We start from the raw sequence: 24,738 nt of genomic DNA, 5'->3' as shown, positions 1-24,738 counted from the left end.
GTTCAGCCAATTGAGGCACTAGCAGGAGAAGAGAGAAGTCGAAGTCTTTCTTCCCCATCCTTACCTAGTTAGGTGCCACCTGTCTGCCAGTCGTTGAGTCCCTCCATGAGTGTGATGCCTGATAGAGGGCAATGCCACCGTTTCCTCCGTCTGTCCCCTCTGCTCTGAAGGGGTAACAACTCCTCCTCGTTGCTCTTCTTTGCATGCTTCGTCATTCCTGGTTTATTTCCTCATCCTCCCAGCACCTGTGTGGTCCCTTCCCTCTTTTTCTTTTTCTTTTTTTTTCATTTTATAGTAGAGAGATGGGGTTTCGCTCTGTCACCTGGGCTGGAGTACAGTGGTGCGATCATAGCTCACCACAGCCTTGAACTCCTGGGCTCATGTGATCCTCCCACCTCAGCCTCCCAAGTAGCTGGGATGATAGGTGGGAGCCACAGCACACAGCATGTGGTCAGTTCCTTAAAGTCTCTTCACCTGACCCATCTGCAGTGAGTGGCGTTTCCTCCAGGACCCTGACTGACACACTCAATCAAGACCACGCAGCTGATAGCCACACAGCGGGCCTGGGATTCCACATTTGCCACAAGTCCACTCTCTCTTGAGTTCTGCCGTCCCGTGTCTGTTATCCTGAGAACTTGGGGTTTTCTCGGATAAGGAAAAGGAAGGTGTGTTTTATCTTCAAATGTCTTTATATTTTTGATAGGACACTTGGAGGAAATCAGGCTTTTTGAGAATTCAGTGACAGCATATGTGTTTCGCTCCCAAAACTCTATTCAAATTCATCCCATTGAAATCAAACCCCTAGTTCCTTTTGAAAGACTATTGTCCAGCGGTAGCTTCAAAGGCAATAGCAGGAAGTTATATCAACCTGCTAGGGCTGCCATAAACAAAGTACCACAAACTGGGTGGCTGAAAACAATGGAAACGTATTCTCCCACAGCTCTGGAGGCCAGGGTTGGAAAATCATGGTGTCAGCAGGGCCCTGTTCCTCTGAAACTCTGGGCAGATGCTTCCTTGCCTCTCCTTGCTTCCGGTGGTTGGCTGGCGATCTTTGATGTTCCCCGGCCTGCAGCTGCATCACTCCAGCCCCTTCCTCCGGTGTCATATGGTGTTCTTCCCTTATGTGACTTCATGTATGTCCCTTCTCCTCTTCTGGGAAGGCACCAGTCATACTGGATTAACGGCCCACCCTACTCCAGTATGACCTCATCTTAACTAATGACATCTTCAACAGCCCTACTGTCAAAGAAGGTCACACTCCAAGGTATGGGGGTCAGGGCTTCAACACGTCTTTTTGGGTGACACAATTTAACCCATATCAGAGCTGTCACTGAGGACGGTACTGACTTGGGGCAAAGAGGGTCTGATGGCCACTTGGAGACTGGTTTAGCTCCAAGTGACAGTCAGACCCTCCTTGCTCCAAGTCAAAAAAAAGAAAAAAAGATTTAAGAAAAGAAAAAAATCAGGAGCTATGATAAACATTTAAGGGTGGGCAGACCTTTTTTTCTTAATGGCCACAGGCAACATTGTTTTCTGAGCAAAGCCATCTTTATATGAATTTCTCATCTGGAGTGACAGGGATGGGGTGGTGGAGACTTAGAGAAGTGAATGATTGGATAGTTCATCATTTTCAAAGAGCTGAGAGGACCTGTGGAGACATTCAATGTGTCTGTGTGTATTGGTGGCTGGGCAGTGGGGAGCTGGGTAATGAAGCAGATGTTTAAAAAAATTCCCTTTCCTGTCTTTCAGAGCAACATTTCTCAGTCTGCACCAGCTTGTACAATACGCAGGAGTGGGAGACTGCAAGGGTAGTGAGGACAAGAGAATCCCAGGGCAAGGGGAGAAAGGGTCATGGAGGAAAAAAGACTTTGGAGAGGTTCTAGAAAATTGCAAGAATCAGCACCTCTTCCTTCCTCTTTCCTCCCTCCCTTCCTGCCCTCCTTTCATCTATTCGTCTTCCAGACTTCCCCTCACCTCCTTGACTGGCTCCCAATGCATCACATATCATGATCTTGCTAAAGAAAGATTAGGAATTAGGCTGCCTGGAGTCTGCAAATTAAATGATTGAGCCAAACAGAAGTGAGGGCCACCGAGGGGGCATGCGGGAAGGAGACTGTGACAGTATATCGAACATGTCATGTCCAGCAATGACAGGACATTGCCTGAGCTGTCTCCAGTCTGAGCAGGCATTTAATGAACAAATGCAGAAGCACCCCAAGGATCCGAGAGGAAACTGCCACAGGGGTGGAGAGATAAGAAGCCTCAGAGCCCCACTCCGGGTGCTCTTTTCAAGGCTTCTTGTTATAGGAAAAATGTGATTCACATCTTTTTTTGTGGCTGTGAATTATATTAATGAACAGCTATGTGCTCACTGAAGTCACTGTGACCCAGAAGAAATTGTTTCAACTGTATCTGAATTCCTCATATTTAAATTCTCTTTCTCTCTCTTTGGAGAGAGAGACCTGTAAGAGAAATATTCACACAGTGCCAACAAGTACAGAGTAAAGCACACACTTCCCTTCCATCTCTGATTCCTGGTTCCCCAGAGGCAACCTCTATTACTCGTTTTCTTCAATTAATTATCTTCAAAAAGCAAAAAGTCTATGTCTTGTTTGTTTGTAGTGTTGTAACTGTTTCAAATGAAAGTGCTCTAAAGTAACACCAGAGGGTCCGCCACCCCTGCACCACCAAAATAAAACTTGTTTCTCAGGGGAGTAAGTTTTTCTCTACTGGGTCATATCACCTCAAAGTGAACAAGCAGGGCTAGAACACATGAGCAATTAAACCTGGAAATACCCTGTGAGGTGGGTGTTGTTACTCTCATCTGTAGGCATAGTTATGCCATTTTACTGATGAGGAAACTGAGTTCCAAAGACTAAGCAATTTACCTAAGGTCATAAGAAAGGCAAAGTCTGACCATAGGTCTGGTGGACTCTCTTCAGCGCATTGAGCCGCCTTCTAGTGTTTTCCAAGACTATTGGTCTATTTCATGGCCAATGATTCCCAAATAAATGAATAAATAAATGATTAAATCAGGCTGGACGTGGTGGCTCATGCCTGTTATCCCAGCACTTTGGGAAGCTGAGGCGGGTGGATCACTTGAGGTCAGGGTTCCAGACCAACCTGGCCAACATGGCAAAACCCTGTCTCTACAAAAAAAATACAAAAAAAAAATACAAAAAAAAAATTAGCCGGGCATGGTGGCGAGTGCCTGTAGTTCTAGCTACTAGGGAGGCTGAGACAGGAAAATTGCTTGAACCCAGGAGGTGGAGGTCGCAATGAGCTGAGATTGCATCACTGCACTCCAGCCACCATCTCTAAATAAATAAATAAATAATTGAATACATTGATCCCTAACAAATTTTTATTAAGCACCTATTATGTATCCTACTAGGTGATTTAGGAGGATATACAAGTAAGGGATGGTGCATATAAAGATGGCTGCACATTTTTGCCTCTCCTTTCACGAAGGAGAGGAGTCTATTTTGAATCTGAACTGGCCCTCTTGCTTTGCTTTGACCAAAAGAATGCAACAGAAGTGCTTCTGTGTAACTCTCAAGGTTGGGCCATAGGAGATCTACAGCTTTCATTTTCACACCCTTTGAATATTCCCTTTTAGAATCCAGCTGCACATGCCACATAGAAAGACCACAGGGAGAACTGAGAAGCTCAGTTGACACCCCCAACTGAGTTCCTACCTGACAGCCAGGACCAACCACCAGTCATGAGAATGAGCCATCTCAGCTGAGTTGAGCCTCCGGGAGGCTACAGCTCCTGCCAAAACCATGAGGACCAGAAGAACTGCCCAGCAGAGCCCAGTCAGCCCTGAGTCATGGTATACAATTGGTGCTGTTTTAAGCCACTAAGTTTTGAGATGGTTTGTTACACAACAGATGACTGAAACATAAGGCACATCCTTTGCCCAACAAAAGGATGATGATTTACAAACAAAATTCCAATGATTTGCTGTGCTGCTGTATATCCTTTTTATACAACTATTTTCTGTTTAAATAGCTAGAGTTCTGATTGCAGTAGGAATCCTGACTGACACAGGAGACACTGAAGGGCTTTTAAAAAATTTTTTTCTGCTAAGAAATGCCAAGATTAAGTCTGCACTTTAGGAAGACCATGGCTGTGATGTAGAGAATAGCTAGAAGAAGAAGAAGCTGGAGGCAGGGGAACATCAGGAGGCCATTGGAGGTTATGATGGCGGGGAAATTGGAGGATGAGCGTGTTGGAGAGATACTGAGAATGCAGACTCTCTAAGTCTTGGTGATACTGAGGTAAGAGAGAAGCAGATGTTAAGGAGGATGTCCCTGACTTGATCAACTGGGTAGATGGCAGTGTCATTTCCAGAGATAGTAAACCCTGGAGAAGGAGGGCAAATAGGAGTTTCCTTCTTTCTTTAGTGGGCAATAGCACAGAGTAATCGCTGGTCTCCTATCCACCCTCCAATCATCTGGTCAAGTCACATCTCTCCTTAAGGCCCTTCATGGTGTCTCCATTCTTTCCGGATGAAGCCAACCATCTTCAGTGACTTGCTTCTTACCCCCAGAGCCTCATCCACGGCCTTCCTCTTTGGTTCCAGGGACATGTCAGTCCACACATATGCCATGTTCTTGCCTACTTCCAGGCCTTTGCTCCCACTGTTCCTTTTGCCTGGATTGCCCTTCTCTTCTTTGTTTGGCTGATTCTTATTTCAAGATTCAGTCATCACCTCCTCCAGAAACTTCCTCATCTCAGGGTAGGTGCCAGTCCTCCAAGACCCAAGAACACCCTATGTTTACCTACAGAGCTGCCCTGATCAGATTGCTTGGTCATGACATGTTTCTCTCATGGCTCCCCTGCCAGACTGAGAGTCCCCTGAGTTTGGGTCTTCAGAGCCAGCACAGAGCTGGGATAGGGCTTTTCCCATGCAGGACCTCACTTCTCAGCTATACTATTATCAGCACTATTCTTCTTCCTGTTGCTTCTACTTTGTAGTGAAGTGCTTCTGGGGAAATACCATCCAGATGAATTTATACATGGACTTAAAGAGTGGAAGAGGGGATGATATGGTTTGGATGTTTATTCCCTCCTAATCTCATGTTGAAATGTAATCCCCAGTATTGGGGGTGGGGCCTAGGGGAAGGTGTTTGGGTCATGGTCAGATGCCTCATAAACAGCTTGGTGCCCTCCCCGTGGTAATGAGTTCACATGAGAGCTGATAGTCTTTTGTTTTGGTTTTTGTTTTTTCGAGGCAAGGTCTCACTCTGTTACCCAGGCTGGAGTGCAGTGGCACGATCTCATCTTACTGCAGCCTTGACCTCCTAGGCTCAGGCAATCCTCCCATCTTAGCCTCCCAAGTATCTGGGAACACAGGCATGTGCCATGCCTGGCTAATTTTATTTTTTTGTACAGATGGGGTCTCACTTTGTGGTCCTGGCTGGGGACTCAAACTCCTGGGTTCAAGTGATCCTCCTACCTTGGCCTCGCACAGTGCTGGGATTACAGGCATGAGAGAACTGATTGTTTAAAAGTGTGTGGCATCTCTTTCTCCCTCTTTTGCCCCCTCCCTTGACACATGATATGCCTGCTCCCCCTTCATCTTCCACCAGGATTGTAAGTTTCCTGAGGCCTCATCAGAAGCAGATGCCAGCACCATGCTGCTTGTTCAGCCTGTAGAACTGTGAGCCAAATAAACCTCTTTTCTTTATAAATTACCCAGCCTCAGGTATTTCTTTACAGCATTGCAAATGAACTAACACAGGGGACCAGAATTTCAGAGTTGAAAAGTAAGATAAAGAAATAGGTCCAAAGTTTATACACAACTTCTTCTGGTAGTGACTTAAGCTGGAGGACAATTAGTCCCCAGGTGGTGTTTTACAACTACAAGTCTCAGAGGGCATATGGAGACTGAAGAATATAAAATTGCATAGGAAAATTGGGGAGCTTCAGGGGAAGCTAGCTTCTAGGAAGTAAAGCAGCCCAGCTTGTCCTTACCTCCTTAATTCCAGACCCTATCCCCAAACTGCTTGCTGTTTCAGGGCCCTCAAATGACACCCAGAGGTTTATATCCCAGCCCTGCCTTCTGGAGTCATGTCTCAAACTGCAGAGCAGTGCCTATAGTAGAGTCCTAGGGAGTCACAGTGCTGTAGGCCCTGCAGGAAAATTCAAATTCACTCTGAAAGCTCCTACTGTCTTTTTTCTTCCTCTGGAACATGTGGCTGCAGGTTTTGGGGGCTAAAGAGGGGAATAGATGCTATTGGACCTTACCATTGGCATTGCAGTATTGGACACATGGGCACAGGATTCAGGTTGGGGGGCAACATGTCTGCTAGGACAAGGCAAGTGATGCAAATAGGTGAACTGGGTCAGGTGTAAGGCCATAGAGAATGATAGGAAATGAGGAAAATTAGGAAGCCCTGCTCCATCCAAAGGAAGCAGACACCACTCAGCTCCCACAGATTCTCACCACAAGGGCATGTTGGTCCAGGGAGGCAAGATCCTCTCATTTTTCTTCAAATGAATTTAGAAGTCAGAATTTGTATGTGAAGTCTTCCAATATTAAATATGGAACATGAATTTAAATTTTTTTTTAAACTTTTTACCAAATGAAGCACAAGGCCCACAGGTATCCAGGTGGTGACCTCTCTTCTACTGACATCCTGTGCTCCAATTTATAGTCCATATCTCAATGTTGGCTACTGCATAAAGTCACAGAATCTACCTCTTATACTTTCCAGCATTTGGGTCACTGGTAAATTTGCAGGTGAAGTAAGGTAGCAGAAAGATTTTGGGAGCCAGAAACAAAAGTGAGCTTTGAATCTCAGCTCCCGTATTTCCTAGCTATGTAGTCTTCACTGAGCTTTACTTTCCACATCTGTAAACCGGGGACAATAATTGTAGTAGACACTGTTAGTTGCATGCAAACAACTCTCCCTACCCCCATGCCTTGATCCTTTCATGGTAATAGGAAATAATTTTGTTCAGGCATTGGAGGAGCAGCAGTGAGCTCAAGGGGATGAATTGTGCTCAGTTTAAGTCACTGTGGGGACCGTATTCCACTTTGCCAATGATTTGCCTAGGGACAACCATGAGACCCGGCTTGGAGAATGAGTTGGGGAAGGAAGTCTGCTGAGGAAGTTCCTAAGATATATTTTCCTCTCAATAAAAGAGAAAGTCCAAATGAAGAAGATTCCCCTTTCTGCCATCACCCTGACCTTCCTGTCTGGGATGCTGCAAGGTAAGAATGTGATGCTTAAAAGCTGTGGCAGCCATTTTGTGACCATGAGGGAAAAGTCAAAAGAATCACAGAGATGCTGAGCCAGAGTGCTGGCCGTGTGGAGCTTCTTCTGAACATTTTGTTGAGAAATGTTAGTGTCTCTATTGTTGAAACCGCTTTTCTCAAACCTGCACATGCACCAGAATCATCTGGAGGGCTTGTTCAGACACAAATTGTTGCCCTCACTCGCCACGTTTCTTATTCAGTAGGTCTAGGGTGGAGCCCAAGAATGTGCATTTCTGACAGGTTCCTGCATGATGCAGAAGATGCCAGTGAACCACATTTATTTTGTTTTATTTTATTTTTTTGAGACAGTCTCACTCTGTTGCCCAGGCTGAGTGTAGTGATATGATCACAGCTTACTGCGGCCTCGATCTCCTAGACTCAAGTGATCCTTCTGCCTCAGCCTCCTGAGTAGTTGGGACTATAGGCCCGCACCACCACACTTGGCTAATTTTTGTTTTTTTTAATTTCTTTTGTAGAGACAAGGTCTTGCTATATTGCCCAGGCTGGTCTCAAACTCCTGGATGCAAGCTATCCTCCTTTCTCAGCCTCCCAAAGTGCTGTGATTGTAGGTGTGAGCTACCATGCCTGGCGTGAACCATGTTTTGAGAGACATTTTTTAAGCCACTGTTAGCCAGATGTCCTATTAGTTGCTGCTGAACACCTCCTGACTGACGTAACGACACTTACCTGAGAGGGGCATGGTGGACGTGAATGGAGATATCATATGTATCGAGCAAAAGCATAGTGTTTATTTGCGTAGACTTTAGCTTCTTTCTGCCTCTCATTTTCATCTGAAGATACTGTTGTCCATTCAACTCTCGTCTAGCTTGAACCAACAGTGAAATGAACCTAGAGACCTGCTCTCTCTCTCCCCTACCAAAAAAAAAAAAAAAAATCCATGATGCCAGTCAAAAAGACAATGAAGTTTCCACAATGTAACTTCTAGCAGAAGATCTCACCTCCAGTATGTCTGGGAAATCTCAACGAAAAGCATATTATGGGACTGGCTTCCACCCTTAGTACAAGACGTCAGTTTACACCATTGGTAAATTTAATCTGTTGAGACACAGCTCTGATTTTACAATGTAAGGGCTTGTGATCAAGAATTCAATGTATGAAATTTCCCTATATAGCTCTCTTCAGAAGCCTCCCATGGGCTTATCTCGTAGACTAGACACCTACCTGGTCATGCTCAGAAACCAGCACAAACTATTTACCACCATCTCCCATCCTAGCCAGAGCCTTTGTAAAGCTTCCTGTTCCAGACCTGCCTCTGGGACTCTTGGCCTGCTGTGCCCCTGTGATCATGCTCTTTCTTGTCTTTTTTCCTTTTCACAGATGTCTCCACTTCTACTGCCTAGGAAGCCTGTTCCTATTCACTGAGCCCTCAGCATTCTCTTTTTTCAGGCTATGCTGGTCTTTTCTGCCCAAGGTCAAGGGCCTTAACGGGAGGCACTGTGGATCAGTAGGAAGACTCTGGCAAAACTACCCTTAAAAGGACCCCAACCCTGCCCCCAGTTCAGCTCTGGTCCTCTCTGGGTCAAGTCAGCAGGTCAAAGGGGTATGCTCAGGAACCTTCTACAGCAGCCAGCCTCTTTAGCTCTAACGTGCAGATCATCACCTGGCGATCTCGCTAAAATGCTAATTTTGTCTAGGTGGGGGCCTGAGATTCTACAGGTGCTACAGCTCCTACTTGACAACAGATGACACTCACAGTAGCAAAGTTCTAGACCTGCACTGCCAAACAAGGCAGCCACTCACCCAAGTGGCTACTGAGTACCCAAAATGTGGCCAGCTCAATTGAGATGTGCTGTCAATGCAGAATACATACTGGAATTAAAAGATTTAGTACAAAATAATCTGTTGTTGTCAGGGGCTGAGAGGAATGGGGAGTGACTGCTCACAGGTACACAGCTTCATTTGGAGATGAAGAAATGGTTCTGAAATTAGGTAGTGGTGATAGTTGTACAACTTTGTGAATATACCAACATCCATTGCATTGTGTACTGTCAACGGTGAATTTTATGGTGTTTTGTTTGTTTTTGTTTTTCAGACAGAGTCTCACTCTGTCGCACAGGCTGGAGTGGAGTGCGATCTTGGCTCACTGCAGCCTCCGCCTCCCGGGTTCAAGCGATTATCTTGCTTCAGTCTCCTGAGTACCTGGGATTACAGGTGTGCACCACCATGCCCAGCTAACTTTTTTTTTTGAGACAGAGTTTCGCTCTTGTTGCCCAGGCTGGAGTGGATTGGTGCGATCTCTGCTCACTGCAACCTCCGCCTCCCGGGTTCAAGCAATTCTCCTGCCTTAGCCTCTTGAGTAGCTGGTATTACAGGCATGAGCCACCAGGCCTGGCTAATTTTGTATTTTTAGTAGACATGGGGTTTCTCCATGTTGGTCAGGCTGGTCTCGAACTCCCAACCTCAGGTGATCTGCCCACCTCAGCCTCCCAAAGTGCTGGGATTACAGGCATGAGCCACCGCGCCCAGCCGTGAATTTTTGTAGTTTTAGCAGAGACGGTGTTTTGCCATGTTGGCTAGACTGGTCTTAAACTCCTGGTTTCAAGTGATCTACCTGCCTCAGCCTCCCAAAGTGTGGGATTAAAGGTGTGAACCACCGCCCCTGGCCTAAAATTGGTTTTTAAAAAAGAAAAAAAAATTAGTACAAAATAGGGTGTAACATTTCTATCACTGATTACATGTTGGAATAATATTTTGGATACATTGGGTTAGATAAGATATACTGCTAAAATTAATTTCACCTGCTTTTTTTTTTTTTCTTTCTGAGACACACAGAGTCTCCCTCTGTCACCCAGGCTGGAGTGCAGTGGTGCCGTCTCGGTTCACTGCAATCTCCACCTTCCAGGTTCAAGCGATTCTCATGCCTCAGCCTCCCAAGTAGCTGGGACTAGAGGCATGTGCCACCACGCCCAGCTAATTTTTTGTATTTTGATAGAGATGGGGTTTCACCATGTTTCCCAGGCTGGTCTCGAACTCTTGAGCTTGGGCAATCTGCCCACCTCAGCCTCCCAAATTGCTAGGATTACAGGCATGAGCCACTGCACCCAGCATTTATTTATTAAAAAAAAAATGTGAGCTATTAGTATACAGTTGACCCTTGAACAACACAGAGTGTCAGTTGAACTGCATGGGTCCACCTACCCATGAATTTTCTTCCATCTTTGCCACCCCTGAGACAGCAAGATCAGCTCCTCCTCTTCCTCCCCCTCCTCAGCCTACTCAACCTGAAGACAACAAGGATGGAGACCTTTATGCTGATCCACTCCCACTTAATGAATAGTAAATATATTTTCTCTTCTTTATGATTTCTTAATAACATTTTCTTCTCTCTAGCTTGCTTTATTGTGGGAATACAGTGTATAATACGTATAACATACAAAATATGTGTTTATTGGTAAGGCTTCTGGTCAACAGCAGGCTATTAGTGGTTTGTTTTTGTTTTTGTTTTTTTGTTTTTGAGACAGGGTTTTGCTCTGTCACCCAGGCTGGAGTGCAGTGGCGTGATCACAGTTCACTGTAACCTCAACCTCCCAGGCTCAAGTGATCCTTCCTCCTCAGCCTCCCAAATAGCTGGAACTACAGGCTGCACTACCACACCCAGATAATTTTTCTTTATTTTTTTTTTGTAGAGACAGGGTCTCACTGGTTGCTAGGTCTGGTCTCAAACTCCTGGGCTCAAGCAATCCTCCTGCTTCAGCTTAGTAGATAGGTTTTAAGGAAGTCAAGTTATAAGCTGGTATGACTGTGATCAGGGGGTACTGCCGCTAACCTCTGTGTTATTCAAAGATTAACTATATTTTAAATTACACACGTGGCTTGCATTTATGACTCACGTTATGTTTCTATTAGATACCAATGTTGTAGCTCATGGTCTATGCACACACTGGGGACTAGAATACCTTGCCCAAACAGCTATGAGCTTATTTCCAGAAACTGCATGGACTCCTTCCCCAGGTCTGTCCTCTCAAAGGCTGAGCAAGCCGCCCGTGCGCAAACCTTGAAGCCCATTGGTGGCCAAGGGTAGCTGTTGGTTGGGAGGGGAAATAGACAATGGAGTTTGGCTGTGAGGCCGGGGCACCCTCAGGTGTTTTTGCCTGCACAAGGCCCATCTCAGTACAGATACAGACCAAGGCGGGGAGAGAAGTGGGGCAGGAGCCGGGCCTGGGGCTTGGGATTGGCTTTCCAAGGTCACCACCTGTAGGCGCAAAATGCTGAGGCATCTGAGATTTCTAAATTCAATCTTGACCTTCCAGATTGTTAGGCAGATATATTTGTCAAGGTATGCAGCTAGACATATTTTATTTAACAGTTCATTAGCTTGATTTATAACTTTTAATATTTAGACGTATAATATGTGGGTCTCTGTTTGTACTCTTGCCCTGGGCAAGTAAAGTAATTACCATACAGGTTTATAAGGGCGAGATACAGGATGTACGTGGTGCAGTGGGAGCCTAAAGGAGGGACACGCTCTGCCTGGGACGGAGTGGCTTCTGCATAACAATGAAATCCAGGGGAAAGGGTCATGGCTGGGGACCACGACTACAGTGAAAAGAAGTCAAACCTATTTTTCTTTTCCTTGGCAGAAGGGAGGAGGAATACCTGGGCATTTGGCTGCTGGGCTGGGGACCCTGGTGAGCCAACCAGTCTTACCCCCCTGCACTGCCTCACATTTGCAGCCATGGGGCACCTGCTTGTGCCCCATCCGTCTGGTTCTTCAGAGTAAAAAGAAGATGGATTCAATGCTGAGGGGGCCCAGAGTCTCATCTGGGCCTTTTACCAGCTCTAGTTCTTTTACACTTCCCAATGGCAGTACCATGCACAAGATGATATGACATCCTGGGGAAGACTTTGGGATAGACCTTGGTGTGGGACTGCTTGGGTTTGAATTTCAGGTCCCTTTCTCTGGGTCTCAGTTTCCCCATCAGTAAAATGGGTTTGAAAATAATAGTACCATAAGAGAGTTCTTAGGAGATGAACTGAGATAATATTTGTAAAGAACACAAAGCACCGTATACACCCCAGTCCTTACTAATTTTATTGACAGATGGGACACTGTGGGGTAGAAGGTGAGGAAGCTGGCTTAAAGACCACACCAGGTTTCAGGACCAAGGTTTCAACCATGTTCTCCTTCCCTCCAAAGCTTGTGTTCTTTCCCGCTCTCACATGTGAGCATTTCTCAACCACAAAGATAAATTCATCTTCTCTTGCATGTGAGGTGTATTCATTGAGCTGGAGAGAGAAGACTAAAAATAACGTTAGGTGTAAATTTCATCCAGTGAGAAGGGCTGTGCCTTGGTTGGGCTGGGCATGAAAGGAAATGCTTAGCTCTCCATTTTCTCCTTGCTTTTCAACCAAAAGCCTTTGGCCTGAAAACACACCTGAGCCTGTGATGAGTTTTGGAAACCACAATTGTGATGACAGGGCGGGAGACCTTGCCAAGGCTCTCCGAGACTTGACCCTGCCATCCCTGCTACAGAACTCCCCTCCTGCCCTCTCCTTCTCCTCAGAGTGCTAGAAGGAGCCAGGTGGGTGCTCTCCTCAAGACCTCATATGCATGCAAAGACCCAGATCTTCCCAACGCTAGCCACTGCTCAAATGTCACAACCAGAGAGTCTCCCCGACCACCCTACCTCAAGCCTCTTCTACCACCCCACCCCAACCCACTCTCCAGCATGGTGCCTCCTTTTTAAGTCTCATAGCCCTTAGAGCAATCTGAAACCTTGTTCATTTCTGCGTCAATCTGTTTCTTGCATCCTGCCCCTTTAGCGTGGAAGCTGGAAGACAGCAGACCCGGTGTGTCGCTCACTGCTATGTCTCCAGAGCCTCCAACGTGCCTGATGCCTATTAGTCCTCAAAATTTTTTAGTAAATAAATGTATGCATGGAGGAATGAATGAACAAATAAATGAAACCTCAGTTCTGGTCCCAACTGTGCCACTAAATTGCTTTACCTCTGGGTCACATTCTTCTCAATTATGAAACGAGAGGGCTGCATTCGATTAGGAATTTTTTAGGGGTACTTTGTGGGTAACACTGAAGGGTTTAAGCAGGAGCGTCATGTGGTCACATTTGTAGTGAAGAAAAAAAGAAAATCACCCTGGGACCCAGTAGAAAGTGGATTGAAGGTGCCTATTCTGGAGTTCAGGGAGTGGCCAGGAGCTGTGACAGACATACAGGCCAGAGACAAGTGAGTCACCCAGGTTTATCAGGAGACAGCAGATAAAGCTCACAAACCCTCTCTCAAGTGACAAACTGCTACCAGGAACCCAAGCAGATTCTAGAGTTCTATATGGGGTGGTTGAAGCCTCTCTGTCTCTATCTCTTCCCCACACGCATATAAACACTGGCCATCCCCTCCCCTGCTTTGTTGCCACCTGGGGCTTACCATATGATGACAGGTTAATCAGGTGATTGTGACAGATTACAAGAATACTTAATATTGATGAATCTTCTTCCTAGTGACTACTTACATATCATCGACCCTTTTCCATGTGGAGCTTACAATAGTACCTATAATATTATGTATGTACAATAACACAATACAATACAACAGTAAACTACAAAGCTATACATAGAGAACAAATCAGGATTAGGGAAAGAGAGATTTAATAGATCAGGGCCAGGAAGGAAGTTAGGACATAAACAAGCAGACAAAGGATTCTAGGCGTTTATCAAAGTTGGCCACATATTTAGATTGAGCTTCCCAGTGGCCAGAACAAAAAGGAAAACATGATGATGCTTGAGAATATGAAAAAAAAATATGATGCTACATTATTTGTGCCATATAAGGAAAAAGTATACTAATGTCTCAGAAGTAAAACTTTCTTTTTTTTTTTGAGATGAAGTCTCGCTCTGTCACTCAGGCTGGTGTGCAGTGGCACGATCTCAGCTCACTGCAACATCTGCCTCCCGGGTTCAAGCAATTCTCTGCCTCATCCTCCTGAGTAGCTGGGATTACAGGTGCCCACCACCACACCAAGCTAATTTTTGTATTTTTAGTAGAGATGGGATTTCACCATCTTGGCCAGGCTGGTCTTGAACTCCTGACCTTGTGATCCACCCGCCTCAGCCTCCCAAAGTGCTGGGATTACAGGTGTGAGCCACTGTGCCCTACCCAGAAGTAAAACTTTCTTTGGCACCTGAATTGGAAATGACTTACATTTTTTTAACATGAGATAATCCTATTTATTTTTAAAAACATAAGTATACATAGACAGAAAATTTTGAGTAAATACACCAAATCATTGATTACAACTATTTAGGTAGTAGGATGAGAATGTTAGTGACATATTACTTTCTCAGTGATCTTATGAATTTTCTAAATTTTCTGGAATACATGGTTATTGAATTTTTTTTTTTTTTGTATTTTATATATTCAGGCTAGAGTGCAATGGCATGATCAGAGCTCACTGCAGGCTTGAACTCCTGGGCTCAAGCAATCTTCCTTCTTTAGCTTACCAAATAGCTGGGACTACAAACACATGTCATCATGCCTGGCTAAGTTGATTTTTTTTTTTTTTTTTTTTTTTTTTGTAGATTCTTGCTATGTTGACCAGGTCTTGAACTTCTGGCTTCAAGTGATCCTCCTGCCTCGGCCTCCCAAAGCACTGGGATTACAGATGTGAGCCACTGTGCCTCGCCCGGATGTTGAATATATAATCAGAAAACTACAATGAGTTTTTTCCAGTTTTTAAATTTGTGGTAAATATGCATAACATAAAATTTTACTACCTTAACTGTGTTTAATATATACAGTTTAGTGCCATTAAATATATTCATAGTATTGTGCAACCATCACCACCATCCATGTCCATAATTCTTTTCATTCCGTAAAACTGAAACTATGTACCCATTAAACTAGAACTCCCCATTTCCACCTCCCTCCAGCTGCTGACAACCACCATTCTGCTTTCTGTCTCTGTGATTTCTGGTACCTCTAAGTACCTCATCATGGGTTTTTATATAGGGAGAAATAAGTGATGTCATGTGCATTTTCCAGTTTAAAAAATAGAAATCAGTGGTAACAAAGACATTCCTGAGACTGGGTAATTTATAAAGAAAAAGAGGTTTAATGGACTCACAGTTCCAGGTGGCTGGGAAGGCCTCACAATCATGGCGGAAGGCAGGTCTTACATGGCGGCAGGCAGGGAGAATGAGAGCCAAGTGAAAGCAGAAACCCCTTATAAAACCAACAGATCTCATGAGACTTATTCACTACCACAAGAACTGTATGGGGGTAACCGCCCCCATGATTCAATTATCTCCCACTGATTCCCTCCCACAACACATGGGAATTATGGGAGCCGCAGTGCAAGATCAGATTTGGGTGGGGACACAGCCAAACCCTATCAGTGGTGTTAGTGATCATTTTATAGGAGGAGTAATTTTTTTATTAAGAAAGGGAGACAGGACTGGGCACAGTGGCTCACGCCTGTAATCCCAGCACTTTGGGAGGCCGAGGCGGGTGGATCACGAGGTCAGGAGAGCGAGACCATCCTGACTAACACAGTGAAACCCTGTCTCTACTAAAAATACAAAAAAAATTAGCCAGGCGTGGTGGCGGGCGCTTGTAGTCCCAGCTACTCGGGAGGCTGAGGCAGGAGAATGGGTGAACCCGGGAGGCAGAGCTTGCAGTGAGCCAAGATTGTGCCACTGCACCCCAGCCTGGGTGACAGAGCAAGACTCTGTCTCAAAAAAAAAAAAAAAAAAAAGAAAGGGAGACAAAAAGTGGAAGGACTGGGCTACTTATATATCAGCAACATGTGTTTGAATTTTGGGGTATAAATTAATTAAGCCAATAATCATGAGTTTAAAATCAACTCTTCCTCTCAGTAGAACAATGAATAAAAAGAGCTACAATTTACTTAGTCTTTAGGAGGGTGTGTGCCAGGCACTTGACTAAGCATGGACAGAAATGAGTGCAGCCCTCCTCCAGCCCTGAGAGGTAGGGTTCTTCTCCTATTGAGAGATGGGTTTAGCTAGCTCCTGTGCTGTGTTGGAGTTACACAGCTCTTCACACTGGTCCTTCTGACCCCAGATTCCTGGCCCAGTGCACGACGGGACTCTTCCACTCTTGGGACAGCCTGCTAAGTGTGCTGAGGATATCGGTAATGGTGGCAAACCATTGTGTTTCAAACCAAACCAAAAAGGAGGAATCTTGCAGGAGGTTCCATCCCAGGATAAATGCAAAAATATGTCCAGATCAATTTCAGGAGGAGAAACTGATCAGTCCACCAAGATGTAGCAGATTACTACAATGTGGTGGCTTTTTATTCAGAAAAAAAAAAATAAAACCTACTACTGTTAGGGGGCATATATGCCTTACCTTGCTTGCAGGAGGGAGGACAATCTCGCTGATAAGCCCTGGGTAGCCAGGCTGTTCAGCAGGTCCCCCCAGCCCCTGTTTTTTTGTTTTTGGCTTTGTCTACATGGCACCACAACACTGGCCTCACTAGAAGACATAGTGAAAAGTGTTGTTGTTGGGAGAAAATAGCCACAGGGTGCTCTATGTCTCTGTTAACACTTCATTGTAAACATGGGTTGTGGATTTAGAAAGTATTGAATTCAGGTTCTGACGCTTTTCTCAGTAGATTCCTGTGGCAAGCTACTAACCCCCTCTAATAATAATAGTGCTGACAGCATAGGATTATTGTGAGGGTGAAGTGAGATGCTGGTTGTCAGGGGTTTTGCCCCATGTCTGGCACACAGCAAGAGCTTAAAAGGTGAGAGTTATAATTATTCACTAGCTTAGATTACAGGCCATCCCTCAACCAGTCATGCCGGCCAGGCGATGTCATGCTCTGATTGGGCAGCCCTGGGTCACAGTTGCATTCTGAAAAGATGATACTGTTGCATGGACTAGGTATTGCAGGAAGGCAAGGGCGTGGACAGTGACTAGGAGATATTGCAGGCATTCAAACAAGAGATGATGTGGCTTGAAAGAGGGGAGCGACTGTGGTGCCAGAGATGAGGGCCACGCATTGTGCTTCTGGAAAGCTGTAGGGAGTAAGTCGTGAGTTCTCCTTCGGTGCCCCAGTAGCCCTGCTGCTTCTTCTCCATGGGAACAGGGAAGGAGGAAAACACTAAGTATCAAAGGTAGAGGAACACATACCATCAGGCTAGCTTTCCTGTACCAGATCAGGCCACCAACATTGCCCTTCTTGGCATCTTGGATTTCTAAGAAAATGCAACCCCATGGAGGGAGGGCATATTGTTAAGCCAGAAATAGGCTCAAGAGCACACTGCCAGCCATGCGAACCACACGCCACAACCAGCCCTTTATTCATGGGGTGCTGGGAACTATCTTCCTCAAGCCTCTACAACCCATCCTTGATTGCAAGCAAGTCCCTGGGTTTCAAAACAGGAAGTAGGCCAACTTGAGTTGCTCTTCTTCCTGGCAGCTTCCCTTCCTGGCAGCTCCTCCTCCAGACAAAGAAAGAGGCAGATGTTTTGCAAAGAGCAAGACGACACTCTTCATGGAGCTCTGGGGCAGGAGACAAGATGTACAATGGCACAGGACAGGGGACCTGAGTAGAGGACAGCATGGCAAGGCTGAGGCATGGACCAGCACCTCTGTATGAGGCACACCTGGAATTGATAAAGCAAGTATCATACAAGATGGAGAGGGACGTGTCTCTCATTTGACAGGCTTTGAGTTAGAACAGTCAGGATTCACATCTCAGTCTGACTCCAAAGGCCCAGACTTTCTTAGTCAACCACTTGATTGTTTTCACCTGCATAATACCTCATGACTCCAGCTGATATTTTTCCCACTGGGTTGGATGAACCAGTGGGAGAGCAATCAGAGACCATTGGCATCCATTGCCAGGAGAAAAGAATGGCCTTGTAGCTAGCTGTCTATACACTTATATGCATGTACTTTGCATATTGCAGAACATAATGAAAATGTTAGGGCTTATCACTATGAGCAGTTCTACCATTTATCATACTGATTCCTCTCTAAATTAGGACAGTCTAATTTCCCTGAAGTCAGAAAGCACCTCTATCAGTTTCATCCTGTTCATCCAAAGGATGGTACCCCATCAGAATCTCACACATGGCAGTTCATTGTATATTGCTTTAAACAGAAATAAATTGAATTATGCGCTTTATCTGTGCTCCACAGTTCTTCGGAATTTAAATGATTGCCTCATCAACGTTAAAGAGCTTTTCAGAAGCGAACACTTTCTCTAAACTCTGAAGTGATTGGTAAACATTAGTTTCAAGGAGTGTTAAGGCCATGATATTGGGTCTTAATACACAGGGGCACATTTCTCAGAAGGAGACTAAGACATGCGTGACGGTGCTGTGTCCAAGACACCCATTGTGCCTCCCAGTTTGACTTTGACAAGAGTCTGACCAACACCCAAAGCCCTCCTCAGCTTAAACTAAGGCTTGTCTTGCCAGAAACCAAAGTTCCCAGCCATTAATCAATGTCTAGTCCCTACCAGGCTGAGAATAGACTCCTTGCCTGTAAAGACATTCAAGGAAGCTGCCAGTGGCTTCTGGTAATCGCCAGTGTGAGTGGGAAAGACATAAACTATCAGCAGGTTGGGGGGAGAAATGGAACATGAGGGGCTACTGTTTTTGGCTTCATGCAAAGCAGGGTGTAATTTTTCAGAAAAAAATAAAATAGTGAAACACGAAGAACATAAGAAGGTCAGTGTCACTTCCTAGTTCACCCTGAGTTAGACTTCAAACAGTGAGTCCTTGTTTTCCGTCTTTTCTATGGGGCAAGATGTGATTGCAACTGAAGTACATTGATTAACCCAAAATAACTTTCCCTCAATTTGCTGGATGCCTAGGAATACTCCGGAGACCCTGCTTTTGTTTTGAGTTAGCCATTTGGGAGCTTGGCACCGATCCCCGTGTAGCGATTCAAACTGAGTGAACCAGAAAAATGTCAGGAACTACACAAGGACATATAGTACAGTTTAATTAGTTTAAGGAGAGGGTGGGTCCCCCCTTCTCCCTAAACATCACTCAAGCAAATTGTTTTTTTTATGGTCTTGTTAAAATAATTTCATGGTTGCAGTTTTGTTCTTATACTAACTAAGCAGGACCGCGTGGGTTATTAAAAAGGGTAGTCAGCCTGGAGAAGGTGGGTGCATTCTGTTTCCTTTTAAAAAACATAGGAGTTTAATCACCTGGCTTGTGCAATGACATATTAAAGAATGTCAGCGCAAGGCTGAAGCTCCTATTAATAATAGTCGTTAGCTAGGAAATTCTTCTGCTGACTTTAATCAGGAATTTTCCATAGTAACCAAGGCTGCCCACGGGTAGCCAGGCAGTACGGATTTTCATTCCATCACGCACATTTTTCTGTTCATTGTGATACAGAGAACATTACTTACTGGAACATGTGAGCAGAGCTATGCTCTCTGGGAGTGGAAATCTTTTACTGTTCCTCTTTCTTGGAACGGTTCCTCAAAAAGATTGGAGAACTGTCATCTTTCAAGGAAGACAAGCCACCTGTTTCAAAATACAGGCCTGTGCAGTTAATTCCAGGCTTCTGCATCTTTCTGGCATTTCTCTCTCTTCTGACATAAATCTTGTAGTCGTGACAAAGATGAGAAATCAGGGCAACCCTTCTACCTTTTGTGGGAACCAGATTCTGATTGCACAGAGACATCATTCCCCTGCTGAAGAAATTTCCATGGCTCCCCATGGCCCATGCGATAAAGTTTGGACTTTTTTAGCCTGATGTTCAAGGCTGTTCATAATCTGGCCACAAACAGTTTCTGGCTTTCTTTCCCTTTTCTCGTCCCACCAGGATAGACCTCAGTCACACTAAGCAGCTTTTGGGGCTTCCTTAACATGGGCCCTTCTCTTCACCTTAGAACATCATTCTCCATGTCTGTTGGACAAAATCCTTCTTATCTTTTGAGGCAAAGCTCAAATGGCATCTCCTATAGGGAGTCATCCTTAAAGTCTGCGTAGTAGGGACATTGAAGCTGCCTCAACGGCGCCTTGTGTAGCTACTCCCGGCTACGGCATTTAGAGATGGTATGTGTGTTTCTGTGTGTGAGTGTGTAACATAAAACTACTTTTTATGACATCTACCCTTCAGAGAAGATGGTGACTCCCCAGGGTATTGCTGCTCTCAATGAGGTTGACCGCATCAGCTTCCTCTGGGAGCATATTCGAAATGCACAATCTCAGGCCTCACCCCAGATCTACTGAGTCAGAATCTGCATTTCATCAGATCCCCAGGTGAATCCTTTGTGCATTCAAGCTTGAGAAGCACAGATCTACAGGGCCCAAACATCATGAGGGTCTTGAATTCCTCCACAGTACCTGGCTGCATAGCAAAATCAGCAAGGAATGCTTTCAGTAGCACATATACTTAGGCCTTCCTTGATTCAGTAGGTCTGGGGTAAGCCCTGTACACGTTTGTATTTTTAAAGACCACAGGTGATCAAGGTGCACAGCCAAGATGGAGAACCACTGGCTGAGCCCGGTGATCCCTAAACTTGAGTGTTATATTGAAATCACCCAGAAGGCTTGTTAATATAGATTGCTGGGCCCCATCCCTGAGTTTCTGAACCATCAGGTCTGGGGTGGGCCTTAGAATTTGCATTTCTAACAAGCTTCTAACAAGGTGCTTATGTTGCTGATGTGGGGACCATGCTGCAAGCCATTGTCTTAACACATAGGTAGGACATATTTTTTGGATGTGTAAGTGGAAGAGACGATTAGAAAGAAAATTTAGATTCAAAAAAGTCTAGTGTTTTAGTTATCAATCGCTGCATAATGAACCATTCCAAAACACAGGGGCTTAAAACAATTCATGTGTTGTTTCTCCCAATCCTGTGGGTTGCCTGGGCTTAGCTGGTATGGTTCTTTTGTTTCATAAGGGGTAGCTGAGGGCACTAATGGAGCTGCCTTCCACTAGAATCTTATCTGCAGCTGCAATGCCGAGGATGGCCTCTGATCTTCAAGGCCTCTTTCCACGCCGTCCCCTCCTACCCCTTAGCAGTCTGGCTTAAGCTTCTTTACACATGCAGTTGGCTTCAAAGTGGGAGAAGGTAGAATCTGTTGGTCATTTGAAGGCCTAGGCTGGGAAGCCCTAAAATGTCATTTTTGCCACATTCTATTGATATAAACCAAACAAGTCTAAAGGCAACTTTAGATTCAAGGGGAGGGGAAACGGAATTCACCTCTTAATGGGAGAAACAGTAAATAATTTGTAGCTCACTGCATTTAGTTTATTGTAGAGGAAAAAGCAAGGGAGCTAATGAGAAATACCTAAATTCTGCTAATCTGTCATTTGGCCAGATTAGCAAGATCTACTGCAGCCATCTGTTGCTCTCTATGCTGAGCCTCAATGGCTGGGAATTCAGAAGTGGGCGTTAGCTTTGCTTGGTCTTCCTGCTCTCCTTGTGATCTCTTTTTTTGAGGTGGGGGAGATCCAATCCTGTTTCATCTATTTTGCCAAAGATGGAAGGGGCTTGGAAGAATTGCTTTGTGGGTATTAAACAACACTTCACAGAGGGTCCTACAGAGCTCAGAGGCTGAGGTAGTGAAGGTCTCTATAAATAAAACACTGTGATGAATCTCTTTACCCTTGGTCATCAGGTAGATGGTTTTAAAAAAAAGTTTGGGAATGAATGAAAAATGGAATGACGGCAACATAAGACCCTCCCCACTGCCCATTCAATCAGGAGTTTTTATAGTAATGATATTATTATTTAACAACAAATGGCTTTAATAGCTGAACTTTTGGTACAGTCTGCAGAGCCCTTTTTCATGGGCATTTTCACATCTACTCTTTTGCAATCACCTGCCAGTGGATACTATTATCCTCATTCTGAAGATAAGGAAACTGAGTTTCTAAAAGTAGAAGTTGCCCAAGGTCATGAGAACTAAATGGTTGCTGAAATTCAAACCCAGGACTCTAGCCACAAGCCTTTTCCATGATTCTATTTCAGGAGATTCCTTCCTGGAAAAAATTTAACTGAACACCCTGCAGTCATCCTAACAGGTCAGAAGGAACAATAGGGTGATCTAGATCAACATGGCTTAAAGTGTCTGCTCAGACTGGTTAGCATCAACATGATGTGAACACTTCTTTGAAATGCTAGATCTTAGGCCCCAACCCAAATCTACTGAATCAGCACTTGCGTCAGGTTTTCAAAGTGATTTGTATGTACCAAAAAGTTCAAAGCACCAATTAAGGGTACAGTTTTGGAGTGGAACAGGCTAGAGTCAGATCCTGCCTTTGTCACTTACTAGTATTTGCATGACTTGGGCAAGTTATTGTCTAAGCTGCACTCTTATTGTCTGTAAAACAGTGATTTTCAAAAGCACCTGACTTCCCAAGGTTATTTAGAACATTCTACAAGTTAATTCACATAAAATGCTGGTTTATAGTAAATGCTCAGTAAATGTGAGCTTCTGCTATTATTGTTAAAAATAATAACCTTCTTGATCAGCCAGCCAGATGGCTCATGATTTCTTTCTGTGAAGAGCAAAAGCCTATACACACACACACACGCATGAGTACACACATACACACATGCACACACTGCAAAAGAAAGACAGTGACTTTGCTTTTGAGTTGGTCTCAGAGCGTTGAGGAAGGAAGGGCAGAATCACAGAAGAACAGACAAGACAGCTTCTCCCTCAGAAGCACCCCGCTGGAGCCCACACTCTCACTGGCTAGATGGGCTGTGTGATGAGATGTCCCAAGGAGGAGGAACAGTTCTGGAGCTTGTTAACTAACTGATGAGTCAGGGGCGACAGCAACTGAAGCATGAAGGTGGAAATACACAAACAAGGCTCAGCGTGGCCAGGCCTGCCAGGGCACACTGCCCTCCCTTAGCTCCCCAGCCATTAGTGCACAGAGAGGGCAGGAGATGGGGGACAAGCCCGGGGATGACAGGGTAGTGTGCAGTCAGGCTGGTCCTACCTGGGCCCTGAGGGGCTGGCTAAGTCAGGATTTAAACGGGAATGCTGGGCTTCAAATTGCTGGAGCAAAAAAAGGGATTTCAAATCTGTGGACACCTCTCTGAGATGCATGTGCTATGAGTACTATAAGCTGAAGTGGGCTCGGCATGAGGGGCAAGGTCCTGAGTCAGGATAATCATAAATAATCACAACAGCGTTCATCACGTGCTTGGTGTATGTCAGGATTGTCTATGAATGAACTCACTTCACTCTCACAAGCACAGTCCACACGAAGTGGGTACTATACGCAACAGATGAGAAAACAGAGACATAGAGATGTTAAACTATTTGCCCAAAATCACACAGCTAGTAAGTGGCAGAGCCGGGCAGTTTGGTTTTCAGAACTAGCACTCTGAACTATTAAACTAAGTTGAATCTCCTGAAATAGAATCATGGAAAAGGTTTGTGGTTTTTGTTGGGGGAAGAGATGTGTGGATGGGTCTGTTCAGCTGAAAGAACCTGGGAGAGAAAAAAATGGGGATGACCTGTGATCCTGTCTTTTGAGGAGGTGCCCACCCCAGAGGTGAGCTCACCCTAGTTTTGCTTTGTCTCAAGTTTCAGTCCATACAGGGCAGATGCTGACTAAGGACCCATTCTGTGGCACGCAGTGAGCCTGACTCTGAGAGAGTGGTTGAGTGAGACCCTGCAGTGGCCCTGAGGAGTTCAGGGCCTCCTGGATGCCTGTGGTGCAATGGAGTCAGACAGGTGCAGACCCTGGAGAGGCAGGAGAGGATGCTGGGGTTCCCACTTTCTTCTCAGACAATGAAACCAAGATGGTGGAAGGGTTGGCACCATCCTTCTGTTTGTAATTTCCTCCATGCCTTGTGTCTTTGTGAGTCTTTTCCCCAAGTTCAATTCATCCATACCATCTCTCAACTTTGCACCTTCTCCCATGTCCCTACATACCTCCTCAAGTCTTCTTGTTTCTGAAGATCACAGATCTGATTCCAAATAAGGAAGATTTGGCCAAATCTCAGCTTTTCCAGCATGTAGTTAGAAATGACCCATAGGCCAAGAGAATCCTCTTGTGAGGATTGACTAGGGCCATTTGGTTGTAGAGGCAAATTGCCCTACAGAGTGGTAGGAAGGGACTTGGACTCCACTTGGAGGGTCTCTGCAAATCTCAGCTCTGACACCTATTAGCAGTAGGACTCTGGGTAGTGACTTACCTTCTTTAAACCTGAGCTTCCCTTTCCTATGTAAAATCCTTCACTTACCCCAGCTGCCTTTAAGGGCCCTGCATAATCTAGGCCCCGTTAGACCCTCCAGTCTCATTCCTTACAATTCCTTCATTAGTTAAGATTCGTGGAGCAAATAACAAACAAGCAGCGGCTTAAATCACAAGGATGTCTGTTGTTTCCGTATTGAGAAGTCTGAGGGGTACACCCTTGCAGCGTGGCTTCAGCAGTAGCTCAGTGTCCAGATATCTGGATGGTCCATTGGGTCCACATCTCTCCAGTTCTCTTGGTTTTCCCCTTGTTATCTCAAGATGGCTGCCATGGC

At 45.1% G+C, this 24,738-nt stretch overlaps 2 annotated features.

Annotated features, from left to right (window-relative positions):
- Positions 16,973-17,267: a silencer, noted in NCBI's record as "tiled region #12964; HepG2 Repressive non-DNase unmatched - State 23:Low". NCBI's record gives its function as "represses a minimal TATA promoter and a strong SV40 promoter by Sharpr-MPRA in HepG2 cells {active_cell/tissue: HepG2}" and the evidence as "EXISTENCE:reporter gene assay evidence [ECO:0000049][PMID:27701403]".
- Positions 23,102-23,211: an enhancer, noted in NCBI's record as "active region_23667". NCBI's record gives its function as "activates an Ori minimal core promoter by ATAC-STARR-seq in GM12878 lymphoblastoid cells {active_cell/tissue: GM12878}" and the evidence as "EXISTENCE:reporter gene assay evidence [ECO:0000049][PMID:35858748]".

The sequence above is a fragment of the Homo sapiens genome, chromosome 5 (genome assembly GCF_000001405.40).
Source record: "Homo sapiens chromosome 5, GRCh38.p14 Primary Assembly".
NCBI lineage: Eukaryota > Metazoa > Chordata > Mammalia > Primates > Hominidae > Homo > Homo sapiens.
Note: the sequence above shows the minus strand (reverse complement) of the source record. Positions and strands in the feature narration are given on the sequence as shown.